Source organism: Homo sapiens, chromosome 5 (genome assembly GCF_000001405.40).
Source record: "Homo sapiens chromosome 5, GRCh38.p14 Primary Assembly".
In the NCBI taxonomy this organism is placed as follows: Eukaryota; Metazoa; Chordata; class Mammalia; order Primates; family Hominidae; genus Homo; species Homo sapiens.
Window position 1 is genome coordinate 110,544,889 of NC_000005.10, and position 27,977 is coordinate 110,572,865.

Sequence of the window (27,977 nt, forward strand, 5' to 3'; positions counted from 1 at the left end):
TCTTTGTCTGCACTTTATGGTTTTAAGAAGGACTGATATAGTAGCAAAAGAAGGGACTAAATGGAAATATCAATTTTCCTTCTTACTAGTTACGTGATCTTCCACAAGGTACTTAACCTCTCTGAGCATGATTCCTTATCCCTGAAGTGGAATGATGAAAATATTTTGCTTCACAAGGTTATGGTAAAGATTAAACAAAAAGCATATATTTTATAGTACAGTCTCTAGCACATGGAAGTGTTTCAATAAATGTTAGTTCCTTGTTTATATTTAATTTTAGAGAAAGCATGAAATAGTAGAAATATTAGAGCCTTTGAGTTAAGCTCACTCACAGTGAGCTTAACCACCACCAGCATGTCATTTTATTCTGTTTAAAACTCAAATGCTTGATCTGCATGGATGATGATGGTGGTAGGAGAGCTGTGGGGCTCAAATGGGTTAATATACATTATATATATGTATATAACAGATACTTTGTACAGTGCCTGGTGCATGATAAAGGCACTACAAAAACTATTTGTGTTTATTATTTTGTTATATAAAATATTACAATATTATAGTTTCTTTTCTTAAAACAATGTATTTGCTACATTGGCATTCTATTGATAAGTATTTAAGGATCTATACTTATCCAAAAATACAGCTCACTTTCCAAACTATTGCTATTTATGTCAAAAGTAAAGCCACATGTGGAGAAGGAGAGAAATAGGCACTGGGAAAATAGGGACTAATACTGTTGTTTCTTCTGTTTTGCTGCTCTATAGAGCACATTAGGGATATGGAAATATCATTAAGAATAAAAACAAATTTTGTTTTAAAGATTGCACCATAAAATGTTAACCACAAAGTGCTTTACCTGATGAGTCAAAGGTACTCTGAATAAATTCACATATTCATTTTAGCTGTACATATTTCTTTTTGATATTTTAGGTCATATACCAGATGGCAGAAAACACTTATACACGATGACTTTTCCTAGATGTGCCAGCATATGCTGCTGAATTGCCTATACAGAAAAACCTTGCTCATTGCAAGTCTCCCTGGAAGTATTTCAAACAAAGCACATCAATTAACATTTGTTTATTATGCCACTGTGAGTATATGACAGTTTTTTTATTTCTTTCCCAAATACTCAGGCAACAGTTGGGTTTATATTGAATTTGTCACATGAAGGGCTCATATTTCAGGATCTATTCACAATTGTTTTTCATTTCAAATATGCTTATTAAATATTTCACCTCTCCTCCAACCTCCAAGAGGCATCAAATTTTATGAACAAATATAATAAGAGTTACAGATGATAAAATGTTATCATGGATAAAAAAACATATGAGATGAGAGTAGATAATGTAAAGAAAGTCGATAATGTAGAGAGTAGATAATTTAGTTAGGAATGGATAATTTAGTTAGGAATGGATTTACCACTGTTGTAGATAAATCGAAGTATTAAATTTAAAATTGTATTTATGAAATTCAGTTGTTTATCATATAAATTGCATATTTATTTTAAAGCATAAAAAGAGAAAATTTCTACTTAATTCCATAAACACTGCATTATATTCAATCCTTATGAAATAATTCCTTCCCCTTAGAATGTACAGTAGTTTATAAACAAAGTTATGTTTCACTCTATGTAGGTAATAATATTATTGTATAACAAAAGGTTTTTGAAGCAAAGAATTAGGAAAGGAGAGGAAGAACAAAGGTTGTGCCATAAACATAGTCATTTGCAATAACTTAAATAAGAGTAGAATACGTATTTTCTTTTAGATCTAAGTGTCTGAGGCACAAGCCCTCACTGTATAGGTGTTTGATAGATGTTCCCTAATTCACATGGAGTAGTGAGAGAGTGTCTGAAGACTAATTTTTTAAATCCTTGTGACATGAAAGGTTTTATATAGTTTATACCACAGAACTTGTTCAAAGAGGTACTACAGGAAAATATTATAAGTTGGTTTAAGGGATTTCGGGAATTAGCAAGTTATTAAGGAAATATAAGAACATTTAGAAATAAATAACCCACCTTTGGAGTTTTATTACTGAAAATAAGTGTTGCCACGATACTACCAAAAAAAAAGAAAAAGAGAAAGAGAAAAAAAAACACCTCAAATGTATTATGCTCAAGTTTTACTTGTAAAATTAAGCACAACTGTAAGATGTGCTTAATTCAACTTAAATAGAACATATTCTGACTGTTTTAGGTAAGAAAATATAATTTTAATAAATTCAAAATAATTTTTCTAAAACTTTTTACCTATAGAGCAAAGGTGATCATTTTGTCTTGTTTTGTCTTATTTGTATATGTGGCATTAGTCTGTTTAACTTAGTCTAAGTTTCCATTATTAACTTCCTTAAGAAAGCAGCTTTAAAAAATGTAAATAGATGTTTGTTCTTTTACTCAGCAAAATTACGCATGAGAGGGAAGAAATTTTAGCTGTGAAACTCAGTAAAGTTAGAAAATCACATAGGCCTAACAACTGAGTCACAAGTACAAGGAAGACAGAAAGAAAAACTGAGACCCACACAGGTACTAATCACTTTAGCCTTTTGAATAATTAGGTATGGAATATTTGAGGAAGTTAGTTTAGACATTAGTACTCCTAAGATCTAGTGCAGACATGCTAATACTGCATTTGATACCATCTAATAATAAAATGAAACAAATCTTTTATAACCTAAGTCATAAAAATGATGCAACCCAAAATACTGGCGAGGAGTAAAATAAACACAGCAATTGGACACCTGAATTTATGTTTCATCTATGACAAGATATTATTCTTAGTCAATGAAATCATCCTTCAAAATCAAATTAAATAAAAAGCTTCTCAGCCAGGCACGATGGCTCACACCTGTAATCCTAGAACTTTGGGAGGCTGAGATGGGCAGATCACTTGAGGTCAGGAGCTTGAGACCAGCCTGTCCGGCATGGTGAAATCCAGTCTCTACTAAAAATACAAAAATTAGCCAGGCATGGTGGTGCATGCCTGTAGTCCCGGCTACTCAGGAGTCTGAGGCAGGAGAATAGCTTGAACCCGGGAGGCGAAGGTTGCAGTGAGCTGAGATCACGCCGCTGCACTCCAGCCTGGGTGACACAGCTAGACTCCATCTCCAAAAAAAAAAAAAAAAAAAAGCAAAAAGCAAATAAATGAATACTCACAGAATTCAACATCAGCAGAGGCTCACTGAAAGGCTACAAAAGTGTTTTCCTCGAGCAGAAGAAAAATAATACCACACAGAAGGCCACAGATTCAAGGATTCAAGGAAGAAGAATAAGGAAAGAAACTTTTAAATATGTGGGTAAGCTTGAAGAATACTGATTACATAAAGCAATAATAATATACTGGTGCCTATAAACACACACACACATACACGAACACATCCAGATATACATACACATAATTAAAATGCTAAACAGAATTGCATAAGAAAGTGGGTATAAATATTAAATATTATTAATCATTAATTATTAATATTTAATAATATTTAATAATTAATCTTAAATATTAAAATATTATAAGACATTTTCATGGTCCAGGAAAATATAAAATTTATTTACATTAAATTTTAATAATTCAAGAATTTATTTTGTAAAATCAGAGGTAACCAGTAACAGTAAAATAATGTGTAACCACCAAACGAGTAAAGGGGGCGGGGTGGAATGGTATAATTAAAAAAACAAAATCTTTTCCCAAAAGGCAAATATGAGACTATTTTAAAAGAACAAGAAACAGGTGTCATCTATAGAATAGTAAATAACAAAACATAGAAATATATACAAATATATTGCAGTGACAGTAAATGTAAATAAACTGTTTCAATTTGAAGACAGTAATTTTCAGGTTAAAAAAATACCACTTCTCCTTAGAGACATACATATAAGAATTCAGGGAGCATAAAATTAAAAGATGGAAATAGATATACCATATTAACATGAACCCTAATCAAAAGAGATCTGTTGTAGTTATATTTATTCACAACAGAAAAGGTTGACTTTTAATTTAAAAATCATAATGATTATAAAGTGTAGTGATTGATCATAATAAAATTGAACTAAAATCAAACAATATAAATGTAACAATAAAAGTCTCAATATATGTAACACTAAGCCATAGGTTATCTTCTAAACAATGTATGGTTTAAATAGAGATAACAGAAATTAGAAAAGTTTTTGAACTAAATGATAATTAAAATATTGCTTATCACACTTTTTAGGATATTACTAAAATTACATGTGAAAGTAAATTAATAGTGTACAAAACACATATTAGAAAAGGAAAATACACAAATCTATGACAAGGAATAAAGTTCAATAATTTTAGGAAAATAATAATCCATTAAATGCAAGGAAATTAGCAGAAGAAAATAATAAACCTAATATCACATATGAAAAAAAGAGAGAAAACACAGTATCAAGAGAATCAAAAGTTGATTTTTAAGACTGAGAGGCCAAGCAGAGTGGCTCAGGCCTGTAATCCCAGTGTTTTGAGGGGCTGAGGTGGGATGGTGGCTTGAGCTCAGAAATGTGAGACCAGCCTGGGCAATACAGTGAGATCCAATCTCTACAAAAAGTTAACAAATAAGCTGGGCATGATGGCCTGCATGTGCAGTCTCAGCTACTCGGGAGGCTGAGACAGTAGAGTCGCTTGAGCACAGGGTATAGTGAGTCATGATCACACCACTGCACTCTAGCATAGGCAACAGCGCAAGTCCCTGTCTCAAAAAAAAAAAAAAAAAAAAAAAAAGACTGAGAAGTTCATAAGGCCTTGGAATGACAGATTAAAATAAGAACAAAGATGAAAATAAGAAGGGTTAGGAATTAGCCAGTGGATATCACACCAGATTTTAAAGACATTAAAAAGATCATAGAAAAATAGAAGCAATTTTAGAAAACATCTTTCCGAATTTAATTCCTAGAAAGAAAACATACCAATACAAAATTAGTCCACAATTTAAAATCTTCCCCAAAATATCCATAAGCAAATAGCTTCACTTGTGAATTCTACAAAACTTATAAGAAGAAATAATGACAAAAATAGAAACCTCTTCCAGAGTATTAAAAAAATATAATTTCCCAATTCACTTCATTAGCCAAGAATAACTTTCATACAAAACCTTAACAATATAGGAAAGAAATATTATGGAACAATCACATGCATGAATACAAATGCAAAATCTTAAAGTATTATTAAAGCAAATAGAGCAATATTTACATCTTCACCAAGTTATTTTTATTCCAGGAATGCAATGATTGGTCAACAAAAGAAAATCAAACAATATAGTTTACAACAGTAACAGAATTATGGAAAAATCTGTCAATCATACCAAATGATGCATGAAATGTATTTGGTAAAATTCTATATCAATTCATAATAAAAGTTCTTGTTAAACTTGGAAAAATTGAGTTTTAATTTATGGGAGGTATTTCTAAAAATATGCAATGTGAAAATGTTGAAAGCTGTCCCTTATGAGACTCACGTAAAACATACATGTCCAGCATCATCATTCAGTCCTGTACTAAAAGTGGCTAAACAGTAAAATAAGATAAGAAAATGTAAAAAAGTTTATGATGCTCACAAAAAAACATGAATTTTTATGTAAAAAATAAACTTTTGAACTATAAAAACAATGTAATAAGATTGGTGGGTAAAAAATTAACACACAAAACTAAATTATGTTTATATAAACCAGAACAAATTCTATATATGCATATATTTGTAAGCATATGATATATATTTTATAATAAAATAGATATATCAAACAGCTAGAAATATACAAAACATTATTGATAGAAATTGGGAAATACCTTAAAAAGTGGCAGGATGTAAATATCCATGAATTACCTATTATATATTATAATGATATGTATCAATTACCGCCAAATAGCTCTCTAGATTCAATGAAACCCCAATAAAAATCCAAGTGGACTTGCTTTTTAAAAAATGGAACTTGACAAGTTGATTTTAAAAAATATATATGGAAATGTTACAGTAAAAAAAAAAAAAAAGTTCAGATAATCTAGAACAGGGTTTGGCAAACTACCACCCACAGGCCAAATCCAGCCATTTTTTTTTTTTCACAGCCTAAGAGCTAAGAATGATTTTTACATTTATAAATGGTTACAGTTTAAATGGTTTTAAAAGTACCAACATAATAACTTGGATTTTGCCTCTGAGCCCACAATGCCTAAAACATTTACTATTTTGCCTCTTAAGAAAAAGCTTGCCAGCCCCTAATCTAGAATATGAATAAGCCTTGAACACTTACTCAGTGAAATGTGTTTTTCAAGCATAAAAGGCAGAGTGTAAAGTCTAACTTTTTGTTTGTTTGTTTGTTTGTTTTTGTTTGTTTGTTTTGAGACAGTGTCTCACTCTGTTGGCCAGGCTGGAGTGCAGTGGCCCAATCTTGGCTCACTGCAACCTCTGCCCTCCGAGTTCAAGCAATTCTCTTGCCTCAGCCTCCCAGTAGATGGGATTACAGGCACTTGCCACCGCGCCTGGCTAATTTTTTCTTTTTTTTAGTAGAGATGGGGTTTCACCATCTTGGCCAGGATGGTCTTGAACTCCTGACCTCGTGATCCACCCGCCTCAGCCTCCCAAAGTGCTGGGATTATAGGCATGAGCCACCGCGCCAGGACACGTCTAACATTTTTGTAATAGAAATCTCAGAGAAAATAAGAGACAATGGAGTAGAAGTAGTATTTGAAAACTTCATTGCAAAGAATTTTCCAGAACTGATGAAAAAATATCAACCCACAGTATTCACATACCCTGCAAATGTTGAGCAATAAAAATACAAGGGGAACTACATCGGATTTATCTTATTAACATTTCTAAAAGCCGAATAGAGAAATCCTAAAACCAGAGACATGAAAAAATACAGTAATTTAAAATGAAGAACTATTGGGCTGACAATTGATTTCTCAACAGAAATGATAGAAGCCAAATAAATGACTTTACATTTATAAATACTAAAAATATGTCAACCTAGAATTCTATATGCATAAGTATGCATATAGAAATAAACACAATTTTTTCAGCAAACCAAAAATAAAAATTTAATGGCCAGGCTACCTGCACAGATTAAAAAACAAAAGTACTGAATTAGGTTCATCACATAGAAGGAAATTGAGCATACATAGTGGCATAAAAATACAGAAAGAAATGAAGAATAAGATAATAACAAAATATATTTTGGCTTGTCTAAAACAATAATAATGTTTAGAGTAGTAAAAATACAAGTAGAATTAAAATGCATAAAACAATAAATGTTCTAAAGTTCCAGAATTTTCAAGTAAGTGGTAAAAGTAATAATTTAGGTTAGCCTCTAATAAATTAAGGAGGCATATTGCAATTCTGAAAATAGCCACAATATATATTTAGAGTAACGTATTACTAACTAATAGAGGAAAAAATACAATGATAAAAATATTTGATTAATACAAGAAAATAAGGCTTTCTGAAAAATGCCCTAGATAAAATAAAATAGGTTGGTTAAATAATAAGACGTAATATGCATCAAAAATTACATTACATGTAAATATACAAGTAAAAGGTGAAGATTGTCTTTCAACTATTGTGGTTAAAAATATCATGCTTAAAAGAAGCATACCTTATATAAAGACACAAAAAGTTTAAGATCAAACAATGCAAAAATACATTTCATGGAAATGTTAATCCACAGGCAGCTAATGTACATATACTAATATGAAAAAGATCAGGCTTTAATATAAGAAGCATTGGTAGAAATAATAAGGAAAATTTCATAATAATAAGGACTCAAGCTTATTCAAGCTTATATATTCATATTCAAGAGAAATATGAAACCTATTTTAAATCTTCATACACTTAATGTATATCTGCAAATATATAATTTATCATTAAACATAATTAAGAGAATGAAAACCTATTCATGCATAAATCTTTGCCAGAGCCTATGTCCAGAATGGTATTCCCTAGGCTTTCTGCTAGGGTTTTTATAGCTTTTGGTCTCACATTTAAGTCTCTAATTAATCTTGAGTTAATTTTTGTGTATGGTATAAGGAAGGGGTCCAGTTTCAGTCTTCTGCATATAGCTAGCCAGTGATCCCAGCACCACTTATTGAATAGGGAACCCCTTCCTCATTGTTATTGTCAACTTTATCAAAGATCAGATGGTTGTAGGTATGCAGTTTTATTTCTAGGTTCTCTATCTTGTTCCATTGGTCTATGTGTCTGTTTTTGTACCAGTACCATGCTGTTTTGGTTACTGTAGCCTTGTAGTATAGTTTGTAGTTGGGTAGTGTAATCCCTCTGGCTTTGTTTTCTTTAGGATTGCTTTGGCTATTCTGGCTCTTTTATGGTTCCATATGAATTTGAGAACTTTTTTTTCTAATTCTGTGAAAAAATATTGGTAGTTCAATAGGAATAACATTCAATATGCATATTGCTTTGGGCAGTATGGCCATTTAAACATTATTGATTCATTGTATCCATGAGTGTGAAATGCTTTGCCATTCATCTCATTTCTGATTTCTTTCAGCAGTCTTTTGTAATTCTTGTTGTAGATATCTTTTTTTCCCTGTTGAGCTGCATTCCTTTTCATTTTATTCTTTTTGTGACTATTGTGAATGGTATTGCATCCTCATTTGTCTTTTAGCTTAGATATTATTGGTGTTTAGGAATGCTAGTGATTTTTGTACACTGATTTTGTATCCTGAAACTTTGCTGAAGTACTTTATGAGATCTAAAAGTCCTTGGAAATAGACTATGGGGTTTTCTAGATATAGAGTCATATCATCTTATAAGTAATTTAACTTTTTCTTTTCCTATTTGGATGGCTTTATTTCATGTCTTGCCTGATTGCTCTGGTTAGGACTTCCAGTATGATGTTGCATAGCAGTAGTGACAGTGGGCATCCTTGTCTTGTTTTGTTTCTCAAGGGGAATGCTTTCAGGTAAATTGTTCAATATAATGTTAGCTGTGGGTTTGTCATAGATGACTCTTATTTTGAGGTATGTGCTTCAATTCCTTGTTTGTTGAGGGTTCCTAACATGAAGAGATGTTGAATTTTATTGAATGTCTTTTCTGCATCTATTAAGATGATAATGTGGTTTTTGTTTTTAGTTCTGTTTATGTGATGAATCACATTTATTGTTTTGCGTATGTTGAATCGATCTTCCATCCCAGGAATAAAGCTGCAATGGTTAATACTGAGTGTCAACTTGATTGGATTGAAGGATACAAAGTATTGATCCTGGGTGTGTCTGTGAGGGTGTTGCCAAAGGAGATTAACATTTGAGTCAGTGGGCTGAGAAAGGCAGACCCACCCTTAATCTGGGTGAGCACAATCTAATCAGCTGCCAACACGGCTAGAATATAAGCAGGCAGAAAAATGTGAAAAGAGAGACTGACCTAGCCTCCCAGACTACATCTTTCTCCTGTGCTGGATGCTTTCTGCCCCCGACCCCCTGCTACTCCAAGTTCTTCAGTTTTGGAACTCAGACTGACTCTCCTTGTTCCTCAGCCTACAGGTGGCCTGTTGTGGGACCTTGTGATCATGTGAGTTAATACTTAATAAACTGCCTTTTAGATACATATATATGTATTCCATTAGGTCTTTCCCTCTAGAGAACCCTCACTAATACAAAAACCTACTTGATCATAGTGTGTTGTCTTTTTGATGTGCTAGGATTGTATTTTGTTGAAGACTTTGGGTCAATGTTTATCCGGGATATTGGCCTGAGGTTTTCTTTTCCTGTTTGTTTTTGCCAGGTTTTGGTATCACAATGATGCTGGCCTCATTCTATGGAATGAGGTAAAGAGGAGTACTTCCTCCTCAATTTTTTGGAATAGTTTCAATATGATTGATACCTGCTCTTCTTTATACATCTGGTATAATTAGGCTGTGAATCCATCTGGTCTAAGGCTTTTTGTAGTTGTCAGGTTATTTATTACTGATTCAATTTCATAACTTATTATTGGTCTCTGTAGGGTTTTGATTTCTTCCTGGTTCAACCTTGGGAGGTTATGTGTTTCCAGGAATTTATCTATTCCTTCTAGGTTTTCTAGTTTGTGCGCATAGAGGTTTTGTTGATCATTTGTATGGATTTTTGAGGTTTTATTTGGGGAAGGCTTGCATCTTCATTTCATTCAGTTCAGCTCTTATTTTGGTTATTTTCTTCTACTAGCTTTAAGGTTGGTTTGCTCTTGTTTTTCTAGTTCCTCTTGGTGTAATGTTAGCTTGTTAATTTGAGATCTTTTAAACATTTTCATGTGGGTGTTTAGTGCTATAAACTTTCCTGTTAACACTGCTTTAGCTATGTTCTAGAGATTCTGGTATGTTGTATCTTTGTTTTCATAAGTCTTGAAAAATTTATTGATATCTGCTTTAATTTCATTGTTCACCCAAAAATCATTTAGGAGCAGGTTGCTTAATTTACATGTAATTGTATGGTTTTGAGAGATTTTCTTGGTATTGATATCCATTTTTATTGTCCAAGAGTATAATTGGTATGATTTTGTACTTTTAATTTGTTGAGAATTGCTTTATGGCCAAGCATCTTGTCTATTTTAGAATATGTGCAATATGCAGATAAGAAGAATGTATATTCTGGTGTTGTTTGAGGGAGTGCTCTGTAGATTTCTGTTAGGTCCTTTTGGTAAAGTGTCAAGTTTAGGTCCTGAATATTTTTGTTAGTTTTCTGCCTTGATGATCTCTCTGTCAGTGGAGTGTTGAAGTCTCTCACTATTATTATGTGGTTATGTAAGTCTTTTTGTAGGTCTTTAAGAACTTGTTTTATGAATCTGGGTGCAAGAGTGTTGGGTAAATAGGTATTTAGGATGGTTAAGTCTTCTTGTTGAATTGATCCCTTTATAATTACATAATGCCCTTCTTTTCCTTTTTATCAGTGTTGGTTTAAAATCCGTTTTGCCTGAAATTAGAATAGCAACCCCTGCTCTTTTTATTTTCGTATTGCTTCATAGGCCTTCCTCCATCCTTTCACTTTGAACCTATAGGTATCCTTGCACGTGAGATCGGTCTGTTGAAGACAGGTCTTTCTTCTTTATCCAACCTGCCACTTTGTACTTTTTAAGTGGGGTAGTTAGTCCATTTAAATTCAAGATTAATATTGATATATGTGGATTTGATCCTGTCATTGTGTGTTAGCCAGTTGTTCTGTAGTCTTGATAGTGTTGTTGCTTTATGGCGTAAATGATCTAAGTACTTAAGTGCATTTTTGTAGTGCCCAGTAACAGTCTTTCATTTCCATGTTTAGCACTCCCTTGAGGACTTCTTGTAAGGCAGGTCTGGTGGCAACAAATTCCCTTAGTATTCGCTTGTTTGAAAATGATTTTATTTCTCCTTCACTTATGAAGATTAGTTTGGTTAGATATGAAACTCTTGGTTGGAATTTCCTTCCTTCCCTTCCTTCTCCTCCTTCCTTCCTTTCTTCTTTCCTTCCTCCCTTTCCTTCCTCCCTTCCCTTCCCTTCCCCTTCCTTCCTTCCTTCCTTTCTTTCTTTCCTTCTTTCTTTCTTTCAGGAGGGCATCCCAATCTGTCACTCAGGCTGGAGTGCAGTAGTACAATCTTGGCTCACTGCAACCTCTGCCTCCCAGAATCAAGCAATCCTCCCACCATAGCCTCCTGAGTAGTTCAGACCACAGGCATGCACCACCACGCCCAGCTAATATTTTGTATTTGGAGTAGAGACAGAGTTTTGCATTGTTGCCCAGGCTGGTCTTGAACTCGAGCTCCGGTGATCCACCCAACTCAGCCTCCCACAGTGCTGGGATTACAAGCCCGACAGAATCTTGTTTCTTTTAGGATGCAGAATATAGGTCCCCAATTTCTTCTGGCTTGTAGGGTTTCTGCTGAAAGGTCTGCTGTTAGTCTGATGAGGTTCCCTTTGTAAGTGACCTGACTCTTCTTTCCTGCTGCCTTTAACATTTTTTCTTTCACATTGATCTTGGAGTATCTGATAACTATGAGTCTTGATGATGGTCATCTTGTATAGCATCTCACATAGTTGCTCTGAATTTGAATATCATCCTCTCCAGTGAGGTTAAGGACATTTTCATTGGCAATATCTTCAAATATGTTTTCCAAGTTGTTTGTTTGTCTCCCTCTCTTTCAGGGATGCCAATAAGTCATAGATTTGTTCTCTTTACATAATTCCATATTTCTTGGAGGTTTTGTTCATTCTTTGTATTCTCTTTTATATATTTTTATCTGACTGAGTTGACTTGAAGAACTCGTCTTTGAGCTCCAAGATTCTTTTCTCAGCTTGATCTGTTTTGCTGTTAATATTTCTGATTATGTTATGAAATTTTTCTAGTGAGTATCTCAGCTCTATCAGATCAGTTTTGTTCTTTCTTAAAACGGCTATTTCCTCTTTCAGCTCATATATGATTTTACTGAATTCCTTAGATTTCTTAGATAGGATTTCAACTTTCTCCTGAATCTTATTGATCTCCTTGGCCATTCAGATTCTGAATTCTATCTTTGACATTCCAGCCATTTCAGTCTGGTTAAGAACCATTGCTGGAGAGCTAGTGTGGTAATTTGGAGGTAAGAAGACTAATGTTGATCCATTCTCATACTGCTATAACGAAATACCTGAGCTGGATAATTTATAAGGAAAAGAGGTTCAATGGGCTCATGGTTAAGCAGCCTATACAGGAAGCATAGCAGCTTCTGCTTAGACTCTTGGGAGGCTTCAGGCAATTCACAATCATGGTGGAAGGGAAAGGGGAAGCAGGTATATCTTACATGGCTGGAGAAGGAGGAAGAGAGAAAGAGGGGAGGTTCTACACACTTTTAAACAACCAGATCTTGTAAGAACTCTGTCACAAGAACAATACTAGGGGGATGGTGTTAAACTATTAGAAATCTCTTCCATTATCCAATCACCTCCCCCCAGGCCCCATATCTAGCACTGAGGATTACAATTGAACATGAGACTTGGGTGAGGACATAGATCCAAACTATATCAAAGACACTCTGGCTTTTTGAGTTGCCAGAGTTCTTGTACAGGTTCTTTCTTATTTGTGTGGTGTGATGTTTCTTTAATCTTTGAAGTTGCTGTGCTTTGGATGGGCTTTTGCTTTTATATTTTGATTTCCTTGAAGGTTTAACTGTGGTATATGTTTGGTCTCATTAACTGGTTTTGTTTCTGAATTATTTCAGGTAGCCAAAGTACAGATCAGCAATTGTGGGCTGCATGCTCTAACCCTAGGTGGTTGGGACCATGCTCATGCCTTTGTTCTCTAGCTACTTGAAGTTGGGTACCTGCTGTGTTGGAGTGGCCAAAGTGTTTCTGGTTTGGTCTGCTGGCAACATCATTCTGATGGGGTATGCCAGCAGAAGTGCTTCATTGGGGTGGTAGCAGTGGGGCCCACTCTTATGTACCAGTAGCATCAGGGCAGTGATATGGCAAGGTCTGTACATGTACATGTGCACCAATGGTTGTGTGACAGTGCGCATGCCAGAAAATCAGTAGGGAAAAGCTGTAGGTGACAGCATAACCAGCAGAGCAGTAGGGGAAGGCTATAAGTGGGTGTTACTGGAAGCCCATCTGCAGAACTCTCCAATTATTAGGCAGGGTCTTCAGGCAAAGGAGCTATGGTGGTGCCTCAGGGAAGCACCTCAGTTGAGCATCTGAGGCTGCACTGCAAGTGAGTGTGGTAAGGCAGGGACCTGGGGAGAGGCCAGCAGACAAGGGGGTGCTCAGATAAGACTAGCCTCATCCCACAGGTAAGATAGCCCTGTTCTGTACAAGTCCAACAGTCAATAAAGGCCAAAGACACCTAGAGAAGCATGGTAAACTTTGGAGGATGGGCATCCCTGGCCATTTTCCACTACAGCCATTCCCACACCAAATCCACTGCCGAATCCCTTCCAACTCTCCAAGCAACTATCTCTGCCAGCTCAAATGTCCGTGGGGATTATGGGGTCTCCTGCAGCTAGGAATCTACAGGTCCATGGCAAGAGTGGGCTATCCCATGCCTGTTTAACTCACCCCACCTCTAGGGGCCGTCTGGGGCCAGGAATGAGTCCTGTTTCTTGGCAACCCCATGCAGGGTTCCCAGCTTCCTCCCAGCTGCTCAAGGTCTGCATTCTTCCTCTGTCCACTCTTAGATTTTCCAGGGATCTGCTCAGAGTATGCCAACCTTCTCAATGGTCTAGTAACTTGGTGAAAGAAGGTCTTCCTAGCTACATCTAGTCAGCCATTGTGGTTCTTCCCCTTTTCGGACTTTTCTGGGTCAATTGGATAATCACAAAGAAAAAAATATATACAGTTTTACTTTATATTACACAAAAAAAATCAATTTCAGATGAATTGTAAACCTAATCCTAATCTTAACCATTTTTCCCAGCAGATAATATAGAAAGATATCTTTCTGACCATGGGGTAGGAAAATAGTTCTTAAATAGTATACAAGTAAACCCTAATAATAAGGGATAAATTTGATAAAATGAATGGCGTTACAATTTTAAAGCTCTATTCATGAAATTAAATTATTAACAGCATGAAAAGCAACTAAAAAGTAGAAGAAAATATTTTAAAACCAACAAAGAGCTGGTTTATTTTATATATATATTCCCACAAATTAAAAAGTAAAAAATTCCAATTAAAAATGGGACAAAATTTCTAGCAGGCAATTTATACCAAGAGAATATCAAAATGGCCGATAAGCAAACAAAAGGATGCTCAGCTTCATTAGTCACAAGTGAATGCAAATTAAAACTACAATGAAAGCTATTATACATCCATCAGAATGTCTACGTTAAAAAGGCTGAAAATTTTTCAGTATTGGTAAGGATTATGTATTAGTTCCTGGTGTTATGAGAACAAAGTACCACAAAATTTGTGACTTAAAGAACAGAAGTTTATCATGTCACAGTTCTGAGGTTAGGAGTCTGAAATGAAGGTGTCAGTAAGGCTGGTTCTTTCAGAGGGCTTTGAGGAAGAATCATGCCTCTCTTCTAGCTTCTAGTGATGGCTGGCAATACTTGAAATTTCTTGGCTTGTAAATGAATCACTCCAGTCTTTACCTCTGTCTCCACATGGCTCTATCCCTGTGTCTTTGTTTTCACGATTGCCTTCTTATAAAGACACCAATCTTATTGGATTAGGGGCCCATCTACTCCAGTATGACCTTGTCTTAACTAATTACAACTACAATGGCCTTATTTCCAAATATGATTCATATTCTGAAATAGTAGGATTAGGACTATAACATCTCTTTTTGGGAGCTACACAAGTCAACACATAACAGTTGTGAAGCAACTAGAACTTTCAAACACTTTAAAAAGCTATTTGGCATGATCTATTAAGGTTGAATATAGACCTTCCATATGATCCAGTCATTCTCCTCTTCCATACCCAATACTAGATTGGACCATATAAATTACAGTTTTGGACAACAAAAGCCATTTGAATATCAGCCATTTCATATGGGCCAACCAGAAATACATAAACATTTGCATCAGAAGATATTACAAAAATGCTTATAGAATAATTATTCATAATAGCTTGAAATTGAATATATCCTACATGTCTATCAACACAATGATTAGGATAATGTGAAAGGTTCACAGGGAACAAACTGAAAATTTTTCCAACGGCCAGAGCTGGAACAATTTGAGCAATAGCAACAAAAGTAGTGTTGACTAATCATTAAAGAAAGAAGTTATATCCAGAATTTACAAAGATCTCCAAACAATTGATAAAATAGAAAACCCAAGAGAAAAAAAATAATTTTTGAGCTGACAATTCACTAAAGGAGAAAATTTAAATGGTGAATAAAAAGTGAAAATATACTCAACTATATTTGTATTACTGAGAAAATGCAAATTTAAACCACAGTGACTTTTTCACATTATACCAATGAGACTGGCTGTCCAGCAATCCATGCTGAGCCCAGATCTACAGTCAGGTGAGCGCTATGCTACCCAGCTCCAGCCAATAAATCTGAAAAACTAATTTAGCCCTTCAAATCTTCTCATATTTTCATAGCTGGTTATAATCCCAACTTTAATCATCCATTATTTTATTTGTGCATGTGTATTTACCATTTTATTAAAATTATAAAACAACTTATAGAGTGCCATAGGTACTATAGCAGAATAAAACGTAAATGAAGAATCAGAACAAAGAAAAAGTGGTAAGGAAGTATAATGAAGCCAGAAGCAAAATTATTACATAAAATTTATGTAGTAAGAAATGTTAACAATCCTTTTTATATTCTTGTTACCCTTATTAATATTCATTTTTTGCTTTTGTAGATTTTCTTAAAATAACTCAAGAATTTCATACAGGGAATAACTCACTGGGAAGAATGTTTAAGAGCACTGGCTATCAAATTGGCACAAAAGAGTTTGAATTCAAGCACTGCAGATAGCTAGCTATGTATCCATAGTCAAGTTACTTCACCTTGCAATAAAAAAACAAAACTGTTCTCATTTAAAGTTTCAATTTCCTCATCTGTAAAATCAAGACCATAATGTGTGTGTGTGTGTATATGTGTGGGTATATATATATATGTATATATAAAATACGGTTTTATGAGAATTAAATAATTAATGCACATAAAGTGTTTATCAGATGACATACAGTAAATATCAAATCTTAGCAATCATAAGTGTCTTTTTAAACATGATACATAAAAGAAAGAAACAATATTCATATTGAAGAATATAGCAGACTGAAATCCCATTTATGCAGCTTTCTATCAAAAACCCTTTTGTATGTAAAAATATCACCAAAAACTAAGAGGCTTAACACAACCACTTATTTAGCATATAGTTCCCCAGGTCAGCAATTTGAGCTGGGAACAGAGAATGGTTCTACTGGTCTGAGCTGAGTTTATTTTTGTGTCTGTGGTCAGAGTTTAGGTCAGCTGGGGACTGGCTTGGGAGTAAATCAGTTAAAATGGCATGTCTGTTCCACGTTGTCTGTCATCTTCCAGCTGGATAATGCACTTATTGACATGGCAGTTACTGGGTTCCAAGAGAATAAGAGAGGGAAGACCCCAATGTGTAAATATTTTTAAAATATCTCCTTGTATAAGATTTGCCATTGCCTATTATCTAAATCAAGTAATATAGTCAAGCCAAGAATTTGAGTGTAGAGACAATGAGCAAGGTGTGGTCGTACAGAGCACTGAATAAATTGGAAATAATTACTCTAACAACATACCATGAGTTCCAAAGCAATAATTCATTATTTAAAAAAGTTATAGGAAGTCGTACACTTAAGTTTTACCCAACATGAATTACCAAACAAATAAATTCAATTAGAACCAACAATTTTCCCCTACAACTAATTCCTCCACTTAGCATCTCTGTTTCCATGAAACCACCTAAGTCTCCATCACCTTAGCCTGGTAATGCAAACAAACCTTCCAGATTTAATGCCCATGAATGCTCAATCCAAGCTATTTTCCCAACTTGGCAAGTCAACCTACAATGTTCTTTTCACAGTGTTCTTATCTCTGCATGGCTCATGACATTTTCTTATCTGCAAGATGCTCTTTGACCCTGCCACTTTGCACCATGTAATCCAACTTATAATTTAAATTTCCACCTCAAGTACTATTTAATACTTGAAGAGAACAATAATACATTCCTGCTAATACTAAAAAAAAGTTAGGGATCAAACATTTATCTGGGCTCCTACTGAGTGCCATGAACTTTATGAACTTTGATGTAGCTAGCCACATATATTATGTCCTTTTGTATTAGTCTTTGTCTATTTCTGGAGAACGTGCTTTCTGGATGAGACAATAAAGCTTATGTGTAAAGGTTATGTTTTACACTTCTTTGCATCTTGCACAGAATTCAGCTAGGCTGAACAGACACAGTAAATAATAAATATTTATTTCATATTTTTTCTGATTTTGGTGAAAAATTTTATATAATTTTGTACTTTATATATCTGTAGTGTCTTAATATTAAATAAGGGAATTCAAACTAAATTAAGTGATTTTTTCAAAGTCACTAGGTTAAATACTTCATCATTTATGTCCGTAAATCATATAGTCTATTAATAATCCAAATGTCTCTATCTCTAGCTAACTTTTAAATAAAATAGATATAGAGTTAACTGTGTGTTTTAGTTAAGATATTCAATGCAAATTAAACACATTTCTTAAACATATACTATGCCTAAATCAATATAACTGCTTTTAGAAATTTCTGATTTAGATTTGTCTTGAGAAAAGCTAACTTTCCGCCTTCATTTAATATTTAAAATAAATGAAAACACCCTTTAAATGTCTTCTAAGCATTGAAAACAAATTAGCACTGGTAGTGGTTATGTGTTTGTTTATTCGTTAATTCTCAGCGCTGACTACTCAAGTAATGAGGTCTTTGCTTGTATCTAATATCTAAAATATATTTGCTATGTCTGATTGACTTATGAATTTCAAATGTAATTATCTATAGATATTTACTAAAATTTTGAAGAAAAAAGAATATCTTATATCAAATGATTGGCTCTGAAAATGGCATATAAATAGAATTATAATTATAGAAATGATAAATTTGAGTTGACTTAGTTATAGTATAATCCATTTGTGATTTGACAGTAGCATATAAAAATAGTTATAAGACTAGAGAGTAATACAAATAATTGAAAGAATCATGGAAACAGAACAAAAAGAAAAGAATAAGGTTGGGTGAGGTGACTATACGCCATTTTCTATTTCTGTTAGAACTGTTCAAAAATTAGGCTGTAATTTTTTTAAGGTCCAACAAACAGTTTATACAAAATTAGTAATAAGGTTCATAGAGTGCATAAGACTAAAGAGGATTTATTTCCTAAATCCCAATAATGGGGATATTGGGTGATACAGTGACCATCACTGAAACAAATATATTAATTTTCTTTGTTTTTCTTTTACTTTGGGGCTCCTAATCCAAAACCAAGGATAAAGCTGAAGCACAGTTGCATAAAAGCACGTCCATGAAATTCAAGACAATATAATTCAAGTGGGCAGCTCTGTGATTGTCTTTTTCCAAGAAAAAAATAAAATAACTGGAGAAAATGATGAACTTCTTGTGTTTAGATAGTACTCTTTAAGGATTGTTATTCCAAATTGTACTTATGGTTAAAAAGCAAAGAGTTTAAGGTTTTATTTTCTATGAAGTATCTAGAGTATAGATACTTGGGGTTGCCAGTAATGGCCCACCCATATGCTTTGATAATAAACTGGGCAGATTAAATTTATTAATTGCCCTTCCTACCTATTAACATTAATTTGTATCCATAATTATTATCTAAAAACGGGACATTAGGAATATTAGGATAATTGCTCCTGTGAAAGCTAGAAATAACCAGAAATTTTCAATGACAGAAAAAAATATGTATTTCCTGATTATAAACAGATTAACTTGCCTCAAAATAAGACGTAAGAAAAAAAAGTGTTTGTTGGCACTTTGGAATATCATAGGATGCCATATGGATAAAGCATCAATGGAAAAATCATGTGTATTTTATGAAGAATGAATGGCCTATTTCAAAATGGCTTTCTTTGAATATGGAGAAAAATATATACGTTTACTCAATCAGAGCTAGAAAAACCAAGAAGCTGTAAATATTTAAACTTTAACAAAAAGTTTAGTATTGGCAAGTGCAGATTTGCAACATACTGTGTAATGGAAAACTTAAAAGTAAGATAGACCAATAATTTGCCATCCAAATTGAGGAACTTTTGAAAGTGAATTAATTTACGACCAGTAAGAAAGTTGGGACAATAGGCGTGAACCCATGCTAACCTAGGCAAATTGGAATGCTTGGTCAGCATACTCATAAATGTCTCCAAAAGGCATAAACCCAAAACAGAACAATTACTCTTCCCAAAAATCAACTCTTCTCTTCAGGTTGCTTAGTCAGGGGAATGCCAAGTGCTGGACCTGTAGAGATCAGGGTGGCCACCTATTCTCATTGCCTGAAGAGAAAATACCAACCCAATTTTCCCCCACCTATTTTGGAAACAGATAAATAAAGCCATTAGTGAAATCCCTAAACCAGGTCTACTCCATCAATGTTGTAAACTTTTTTCAAGCCTGCTATCTCATAGTTTCATGAAGATTTGCGGCTTGCCTCAGTTAGCACACCTGTAAGAAACCAACACAATAAAATAATTTCATCGGTTTACTTCATAGCTTACTTATCCTCTACTTCCTCCAAATATTTTGCTAAGTTATTTTCACTTTCTTCATCTGAAATTCATCAACATTTGCTGTTGAATTTTTTCTATTAAAAGCAAATGTTCTCCTCTTATAGTTCTAACAGCACAATAATAAATCATAATCTCTAGGGATATTGAGAAGTAATATAACTTAGAGTATAACAAATAACTTTTATCTCAGTATATTTTATTTATTTACCAAAAACTTTAAATGTTTTATAACATGAATTAATTTAGTCATCATAACAAGCCTATGCATTAGATACTATTCTTAGCCCCATTTTCAGAGAAGGAAACTGAAGTAAAAATATGCCCAAGGTCACTTAGATACTCTGTGGTAGAACAGCCATTTGAACCCAGGCAACCTTTGCTGTAGGTTCTGTGCTCTCAAAATCACTCAGCTTTCCTGTCTCTTATGAGATTTTCACTTACTATCGCTGTCTGTGAGCATTAGAAATATCCCTTGGCATACAGTTTTCAAAAATAAGAAAACTAAGGCTGAGGAATAACTTGTTCCAAGTCCCATCTGAATAAAGAGATTGTGTGGAGTTGGAATTTAAACGGAATTATTTTTTCTCTGTTCCCAAGTGTTTAGCTACTCTCACCTACTGCTTTGGTATGACAAACTTGGTTTAAACATTCTCCAGTTATGACCCAACATATATTCAGTTACCTGCTAAATGTGAGTGCACAGGTTAGTGTGTCAATAACAATGTTAAATATTAGCAATATTAATGAATATGTTAGTCTTATCCTTGATATTCATATGAACAAATCTAGTAGGTCACTTGCAAATTTCTCTAAATCTTGTTTGTTAAGATTTTTATATCCTTTCTACAGTCAATTTTCATCATTTATATTTTCTTAGAAAATCATTTATTGCACTATATTTTCATATATATTAGCATACAGTTGTAAATTGATCCTTTTATAATCATTTTCCAATTACTTTCTTATAATCACATTCCCTTTACCCTTCCAGATTTTGTGATTAATAAAAGTTTCCCTCATTTTTCCATTATATTAGCTAGTCTAAAATAGTTTATGTATTATTTTTATTTTACCCAAGGAAACCATTTTAGGATTTATCAGTTCTATGCTTTTTATAGTCTGCTTTTATTTTTCTAAATGTACTTTCAATTTAAACTTTTTCTTATTTTTTACAAACATTTAAAAAATTATTCCCAGAGCTCCTAGGCCTCCAAGACTGTGATGGGAGGGGCTGCTGGGAATGTCTCTGACATGTCCTGGACACATTTTCCCTTTTGTCTTGGTCATTGGCATTTGGCTCCTTGTTACTTATGCAAATTTCTGCTGCAGGCTTGAATTCCTTCCCAAAAAATGGGATGCAGGCTGCAAATTTTTCAAACTTTTATGCTCTGCTTCCTCTTGAAGATTCTGTCACTTAGAATTTTTTTCTGCCAGATGCCCTAAATTATCTCTCTCAAGTTCAAAGTTCCACAGATCTCTAGAGCAGGGGCAAAATGCTGCCAGTCTCTTTGCATAGCAAGAGTGACCTTTACTCCAGTTCCCAACAAGTTCCTCATCTTCATCGGAGACCACCTCAGTCTGGACTTCATTGTCCACATCACTATCAGCATTTTGGTGAAAGCCATTCAACACATCTCTAGAAGTTCCAAACTTTCCCACATTTTTCTATCTTCTTCAGAGCTCTTCTTACTGTTCCAACTTCTGCCTGTTACTCAGTTCCAAAGTTGTATCCACATTTTCAGGTATCTTTACAGCAGCACCCCACTCTACCAATCCCAATTTACTGTATCAGTCCATTTTCGTATTGCTACAAAGAAATACCCAAGACTGGGTAATTTATAAAGAAAAAGAGGTTTAATGGACTCACATTTCCACATGGCTAGAGAGGCCACAAAATCATGGTGGAAGGTGAAGGAGGAACAAAGGCATGTTTTACATGGCAGCAGGCAAGAGAGCATGTGCAGGGAAACTGTCTTTATAAAACCATCAGATCTCATGAGACTTATTTACTATTATGAGAACAACATGGGAAAAAACCCACTCCCATGATTCAATTAACTCCCACCAGGTACCTTCCATAACACGTGGGGTTGATGGGAACTATAATTCAAGATGAGATTGGGTGGGGTCACAGCCAAACCATATCATTTATCAAGGCATGTTTAATTTCCAAAGAATTGTAGATGTTACTCTTTAATTTTGTTATTTTTAATAATAAAATTATTTTTATTTTTATCTTAAAAATAATTTTACCATTAATTTAATCAATATTAAATTTAATTATTAAACATGGTTATAGCATGTATGTTAATATTTAAAGGGAACCCATTTGGACTGTTAATTCAACCTATATTTATTGAGCACTTATTGTGTGTATTGGGATACAGCATTGAAAAAAACAGATGTTTCTGTGTGTTTTTCCTTTAATATGGTAGTTGTTTAATGTGTTATTACCAAAATTATAAAAATAAAATGTTCTTGTGTCCTCTCACTAACTATAGGATGCCCTTTAAGCTTCTAAATTATAATTTAGGCTAGGAGATATAGGTTGATTTACAAATATAGTAGTCAAGCAGGCTGAGAGGAGAGGGAAGAGTCTTGGAGCTAGTGGGTAACCCAACAAAGGAACTTTTACCTTTACCTATTTATTTTCTATGTGTGTTGAAATCACTGAAGTTAAGACCACCTTTACACTTTCTCTAGTCCAGTGTCATGATATGGCTGTGTTCAGCCTTCTTCCTGGTATTTCTGGTCACTGAACTAGACAAGGGAGGAAATGCTCAAGTGAGAGAATAGGTGTCTGGATTCCTAACATCATAAAAAGCTACATCATAAAAATGCCCCTTGCCCCTCCTATTTGAATCTTACCAACAGCCTGCCTCTTTTGGCAGCCCTTGCTATGAGGTAGTGAAAGTGCCCCTATGCAGCTCCTTCACAGCTCATCCTAACATAGCCCTCAAATTAGAGGATTGTGTTATGCTCCTTAAAACTTCCATTACTTTCTAAATGTCTTCATCAAGAAAAGAGAAAAAGAATCATGGCTTAACATGCTACTTCAATCTAGTGTACCTAACATGTCTATCAGAATTTCCCACCAAGTCAGAGTTCTATGGTGGAATCACCCCTTACTGAGGTGTACTTTTCCCTAGATGTGTTAAATGAATTTAATTCTGTTTCTATTACAGATTTTGGTGGCCTTTACACTACCGTCTAGAGCTCAACTCTCCTATCTTTAATCAAAAATAGATCAGTGTTAAGTTTTAAAAATATTATTCTCACCTGTAAGTCATTAATACTCACTGAATGTAGACATTCCTTTTACCATGGAGAGAAATGACAACCGTGCTTCCTAATGATAGATGTACATATTTATTGCCCAGTGTTTTACCTTACCTGAGCTATATTGATTGCATTTTGGATTCGTACATCTTCCTCATAATCCTTTGTTTTCTGCAATGTTTGCCATATCATGTTTCTAAGTCCATCCTGTTCTTCGTCTCCTTGAAGTTCCCATGAAATTTTCACCAGGTTATACACTAAGCCATAGTAACCAGTCCAGACTACTTGATCACCTGTTTAAAAAGAAAAAGTCTTTGGGAATTATCATTTTATTCACCTTGCTAAAGTATGATTGTGTGAAACAGAATAAACCAATTTTACTATAATTCATAATAATATTCTAAAGTCTGAAATTCTAAGCTGTGGAAATTTCTGACCCTTCACTGCTTTCTCTCCTTTACATTTAAAACAGATCACAGATCATTTTAAAATTTCTAACCACATGAAAAGAAAAACTGCACCTAACTGGTATACTTCATAAATTTAAAAGTTAAATGGGTAAACTGTAAACTACATACACAAAATAAATTCTTAGAATTCAAGTAAAGAGGAATCTGTTCAAAGGAATATGAACACAGGCCACCATGGTGAATTTTTATAATAAAGTAGAGAAACCAGAAAAATACTTCCTGTTATTAAAAAAGTCAAACATTATGAAACATGGTATTTGAACCAAGAAGAAAATGTGCAAATCATGTGAAAAGCATACAAAAACTACTGTTATAATTATAAGGTGAAAAATTCATTTCAATAATAGTGAAATAAATCAGTTGGAATATAGGAAAAAGTAATGAAAACAGAGATTTAAAAACTCTAAGACACTCCTCTTCTAGAACTTATATAGCAATTAGCAATTTATATACATTACCAAGTTCCACTTTCAAAATATGTATTTTCCTTAGAGAAAGGAGAAAGACATTCCTATTTACTCTTTATAGTAATTATTTCTTACCTAGATATTGTATATTGCTATGCAGTAATAGGAAGAAAGAATTCCAATTTAGGTAGATTTGGGAGAAATAAATTTGGGGAATAAAATAATACAGTTATCATAGAAGAGATGAACTTAGCCAAAAACCAACATGAAAATACTGAGTATGTGAAGCAGATAAGAAGAATAAGAAGAGGAAATGGTTCAGAAAGGGAGCTGGAAGAGTTTTAAAGCCCTTTAAATTCCATATTGCACTTTTCTCCAAAACCCTGGTGACAGTCCATTGATGATTATTGCCCTTCTTGAATAAAGATAGAAGAACAACATGAAAAGTCACAATCCTCAACTTTTCCAAATGAATCTAGTTTTCATAATGCAGGTTAATAACAATCATTATTATTATTATAGCTAGTACCGGAGGGGGTACTAACTATGTGGTCCAATTTTAGTTCTCACTACAATCCTGCTATGTAGATGTTATTATATATACTTAGAATAATAAAAGGGAACATATAAACTTGAACTTGCTTAGAAAGCTCCCTGGCATCAGACAGCTGTTGAATGAATGATAGAGCAGGTAAAGGCTGGTCTAATCCTGTCCCATGCAGCACAGTCTCTCCAATTTACACAAGTACTTTTCTTTCTAGTCATGACCTTCCATTCCATTCATAGGAAAGAAAGATTTTGAAAGGAAGAGGAGGCAGAAGAGAAAGTACGTACATGTTTTACAAGTAATAGGAGGAAGGCATATATCCAGTTTCCAATTTTAAGGTATCATCTACCTTTTCTATTATTGGAACTTTAGGAGAGAAAGTATAAGCTGGAAGTAGGAAGCTACAGTTAAGCAGCCAATTATTTTTGAAACGTCATTTTCTCCTTATAGGAACTTTACTAATTTAAATTGAGACATCACAATATTTGAAATAACATATAAAACAAGTTTTTTGAATGAATGGCATTAATATTTTTGCACTGAACATTTGGACTATAATAAAAAAGCCCAAATTTAAGGTTTTGGGGTTTTCTTAAACCATTTTCTTTGTGAATAGTCTTGACTAAAGTGAGAAAAAGATAATCTGTATCTTCAAGTAATTGGCAAGTCTGGGACATGAGAATAATTTGTAAGAGAAATTAGAGGGTAACTGTTAAATGAAAAGATGATGGTCATTGATATAACAATCACAAAAGCAAGAGATCAATGAGGGCTAGAAGAGTAAGGAAAGGGCTGGAGAAAGTATGAGTTTAGAAGACTTGTCCAATAGGTAAATTTGGGAAAAGTGCAGACGAAGATATTGGGTGAGTATTTCAAATGGAAGGATATCTGAAAAAAGGTTAGCTCTGAGAATAAATACTGTAATAGCTTCCTAGTTCTTTCATCTTCCTGTCTTATTATTTACTGCTTCACCATTACTAATCCACGTTGTGGAAACTGACCTTTCTAAATCTCATTATGTTACTTCTCTACTCACAACTCAGCAAAGGATTGCCATTTGTCCCTATGTAAATTCCAAATCGCATGGCCAGGCAATTACTGTCTGTCTTTCTAATATGACATCATTTTGGAACACATCTATCACCACTCCTTTAATCCCACCCCCTCTTGCTAATACACTACAAACAGACAAAACTACTGGAAGTTCTAGAATACACATCTCATTTAATCTTCTAGCTCTTGTATAAACTTTTCACTTAACCAGAAATTATCCTGTCCAAAATTAACTCCACACTACACCTGGCTTCTATCGAGACTCCTGCATTCTTTCTATTAGGAATCCTTCTCTGAATCTCCATGGCTAGCTAGGTGCCCTTGTGCCTGATGTATTGTATCATATTGTACTTGCATATCTCACCTATGGATTATAAACTACTGGAGAAGAGAGAATATCTTTTATTCGCTCAGATATTCCTAGCATATAGCAAAGTGCCTACAACAAAGTACCTACAACATAGTAGATCTAATTTATAAAAATCTGTTAATTGAATTAGGGAAGTAGGTAGAGAGAACAACTAAGTCCCTTTGCCTGGGGCTGAAGTGTTTCTTGGAACACAAGCTTTCAAGGACAAAACTGGGAAAGTCCACAGCAAATCAAGACATTTAGGTCAGGAATATGGCCCCCAGTAGTGAGGTAGTTATACAGACAGAGAAGGGAAGAGATGATAGTAAGGATCTCAAATGAAGCTAAGGTGGACAGTTTATACTAAAAATAAATAAGAGGCCAGTCATGGTGGCTCACATTTGTAATCCCAGCACTTGGAGAGGCTGAGGCAGGAGGATTGCTTGAGGCAGGCCAGGAGATCAAGACTAGCTTGGGCAAAATACCGAGACCCTATCTCTATAGTTGTTTTTTTTGTTTGTTTGTTTTGTTTTTTTGTTTTTTTTTTAAATTAGCTGGGCATAGTGGTGCACATCTGTAGTCCCAGGTACTCAGGAGGCTGTGTTGGGAAGATCACTTCACCCACAAAGTTTGAGGCTACAGTGAGCTATGGTTAAAAAAAAATAGATAAGGTACCAAAGCTAGCTAAAGATAAAGGGGATCAGATTAAATCGTAGATGTTTGAGGAAGGGAGTAACGTTATGTCTGCTCAATGCAATGTCATGTTTATTCAAGCAATAAACTGGGAAACCAATACAGGAGTTTTATGAGGTAATCTAGGTCTTTACTGCAATGGGCAGCAGGAGATTGGCAAGGAAGGGGCAGAAACTTAAGACACTGTGGAGAAGATCTAATTGGACTTCTTAGCTATGGGGAAAGAGTCAGAAATACAGGGGAAAGGAGAAGTACATTTTTAAGCTCAGGAGACTGAAACAATAATAAAACCACTTGAAGAAATGAGAAGAGTGTATAGAAGAGTCACTTTTAAGAAAAAGAAGATAAATATTATTTGGAAAATGTGGCATGGGAAGGGAGACTCTAATGTTCAATGTCCTGTAGTTTGTTGTAAAAATATGGCTAGAATGCAAGTAAAATAGCAAGACTGAGATTGCTGATTTGTGGGTCATTAGCTTGAAGTCAATATAAGTAAGGAAACACATTATTTTTTAAGTTAATAATTCTGGATTGTGAGCCTCTGAGAAAAAATAAGTTTTTGAACAATATTACAAATAAAACATACAGTGAATTTTAACTAATTTCTACATTTACTTACAGACTCTCAACATTAACACAAATGACTGACAAAAACACATACAAACCACTTTCCTCTATGTATTTTAAATTATTACTTATTGAAGGTCAATATTTTATAAAACTACAATAGTTGAATTATCAAAATGAATACACTTTGGTTTTAGAATCCACAAGATCAATGATAAACCATAAAATATATTCTGATAGTTATGTTTTAGTAAGTCACAATTCCTTTTAAATTCCATTCATATTTTTAAAAGTGAGCTGTTCACCTGTTGATTTAAACTCAATTGAAGTGCTGCTGATGAATAATATTCACAGGGAGAATCATTACACCCAACTGACTGACAGTTAATGAAGAAAAAAAACCTTATAAAGACAGATGGTATGTGTTACAACTGTCATAAAAAGTAG

General features: G+C 34.1%; 1 protein-coding gene across 23 annotated transcripts in view; it reads right to left on the reverse strand.

Moving 5' to 3' along the window:
* Positions 1 to 27,977, reverse strand: part of TMEM232 (transmembrane protein 232) — a 351,524-nt gene that overhangs the window by 157,458 nt on the left and 166,089 nt on the right. For 22 of the 23 annotated variants that reach the window (XR_001742182.2, XR_001742181.2, XR_007058620.1 and 19 more), the window contains one exon: positions 23,559 to 23,737. Coding sequence is in view for 20 of the 23 variants with exons in the window: in XM_011543565.4 (XP_011541867.1) it covers positions 23,559 to 23,737 (179 nt within the window). In the remaining 3 variants the exon portion in view is untranslated. Of the gene's footprint in view, positions 1 to 6,692; positions 20,101 to 23,558; positions 23,738 to 27,977 lie in introns of those variants that run through there. The other variant, XM_011543567.4, reaches the window with a different exon arrangement.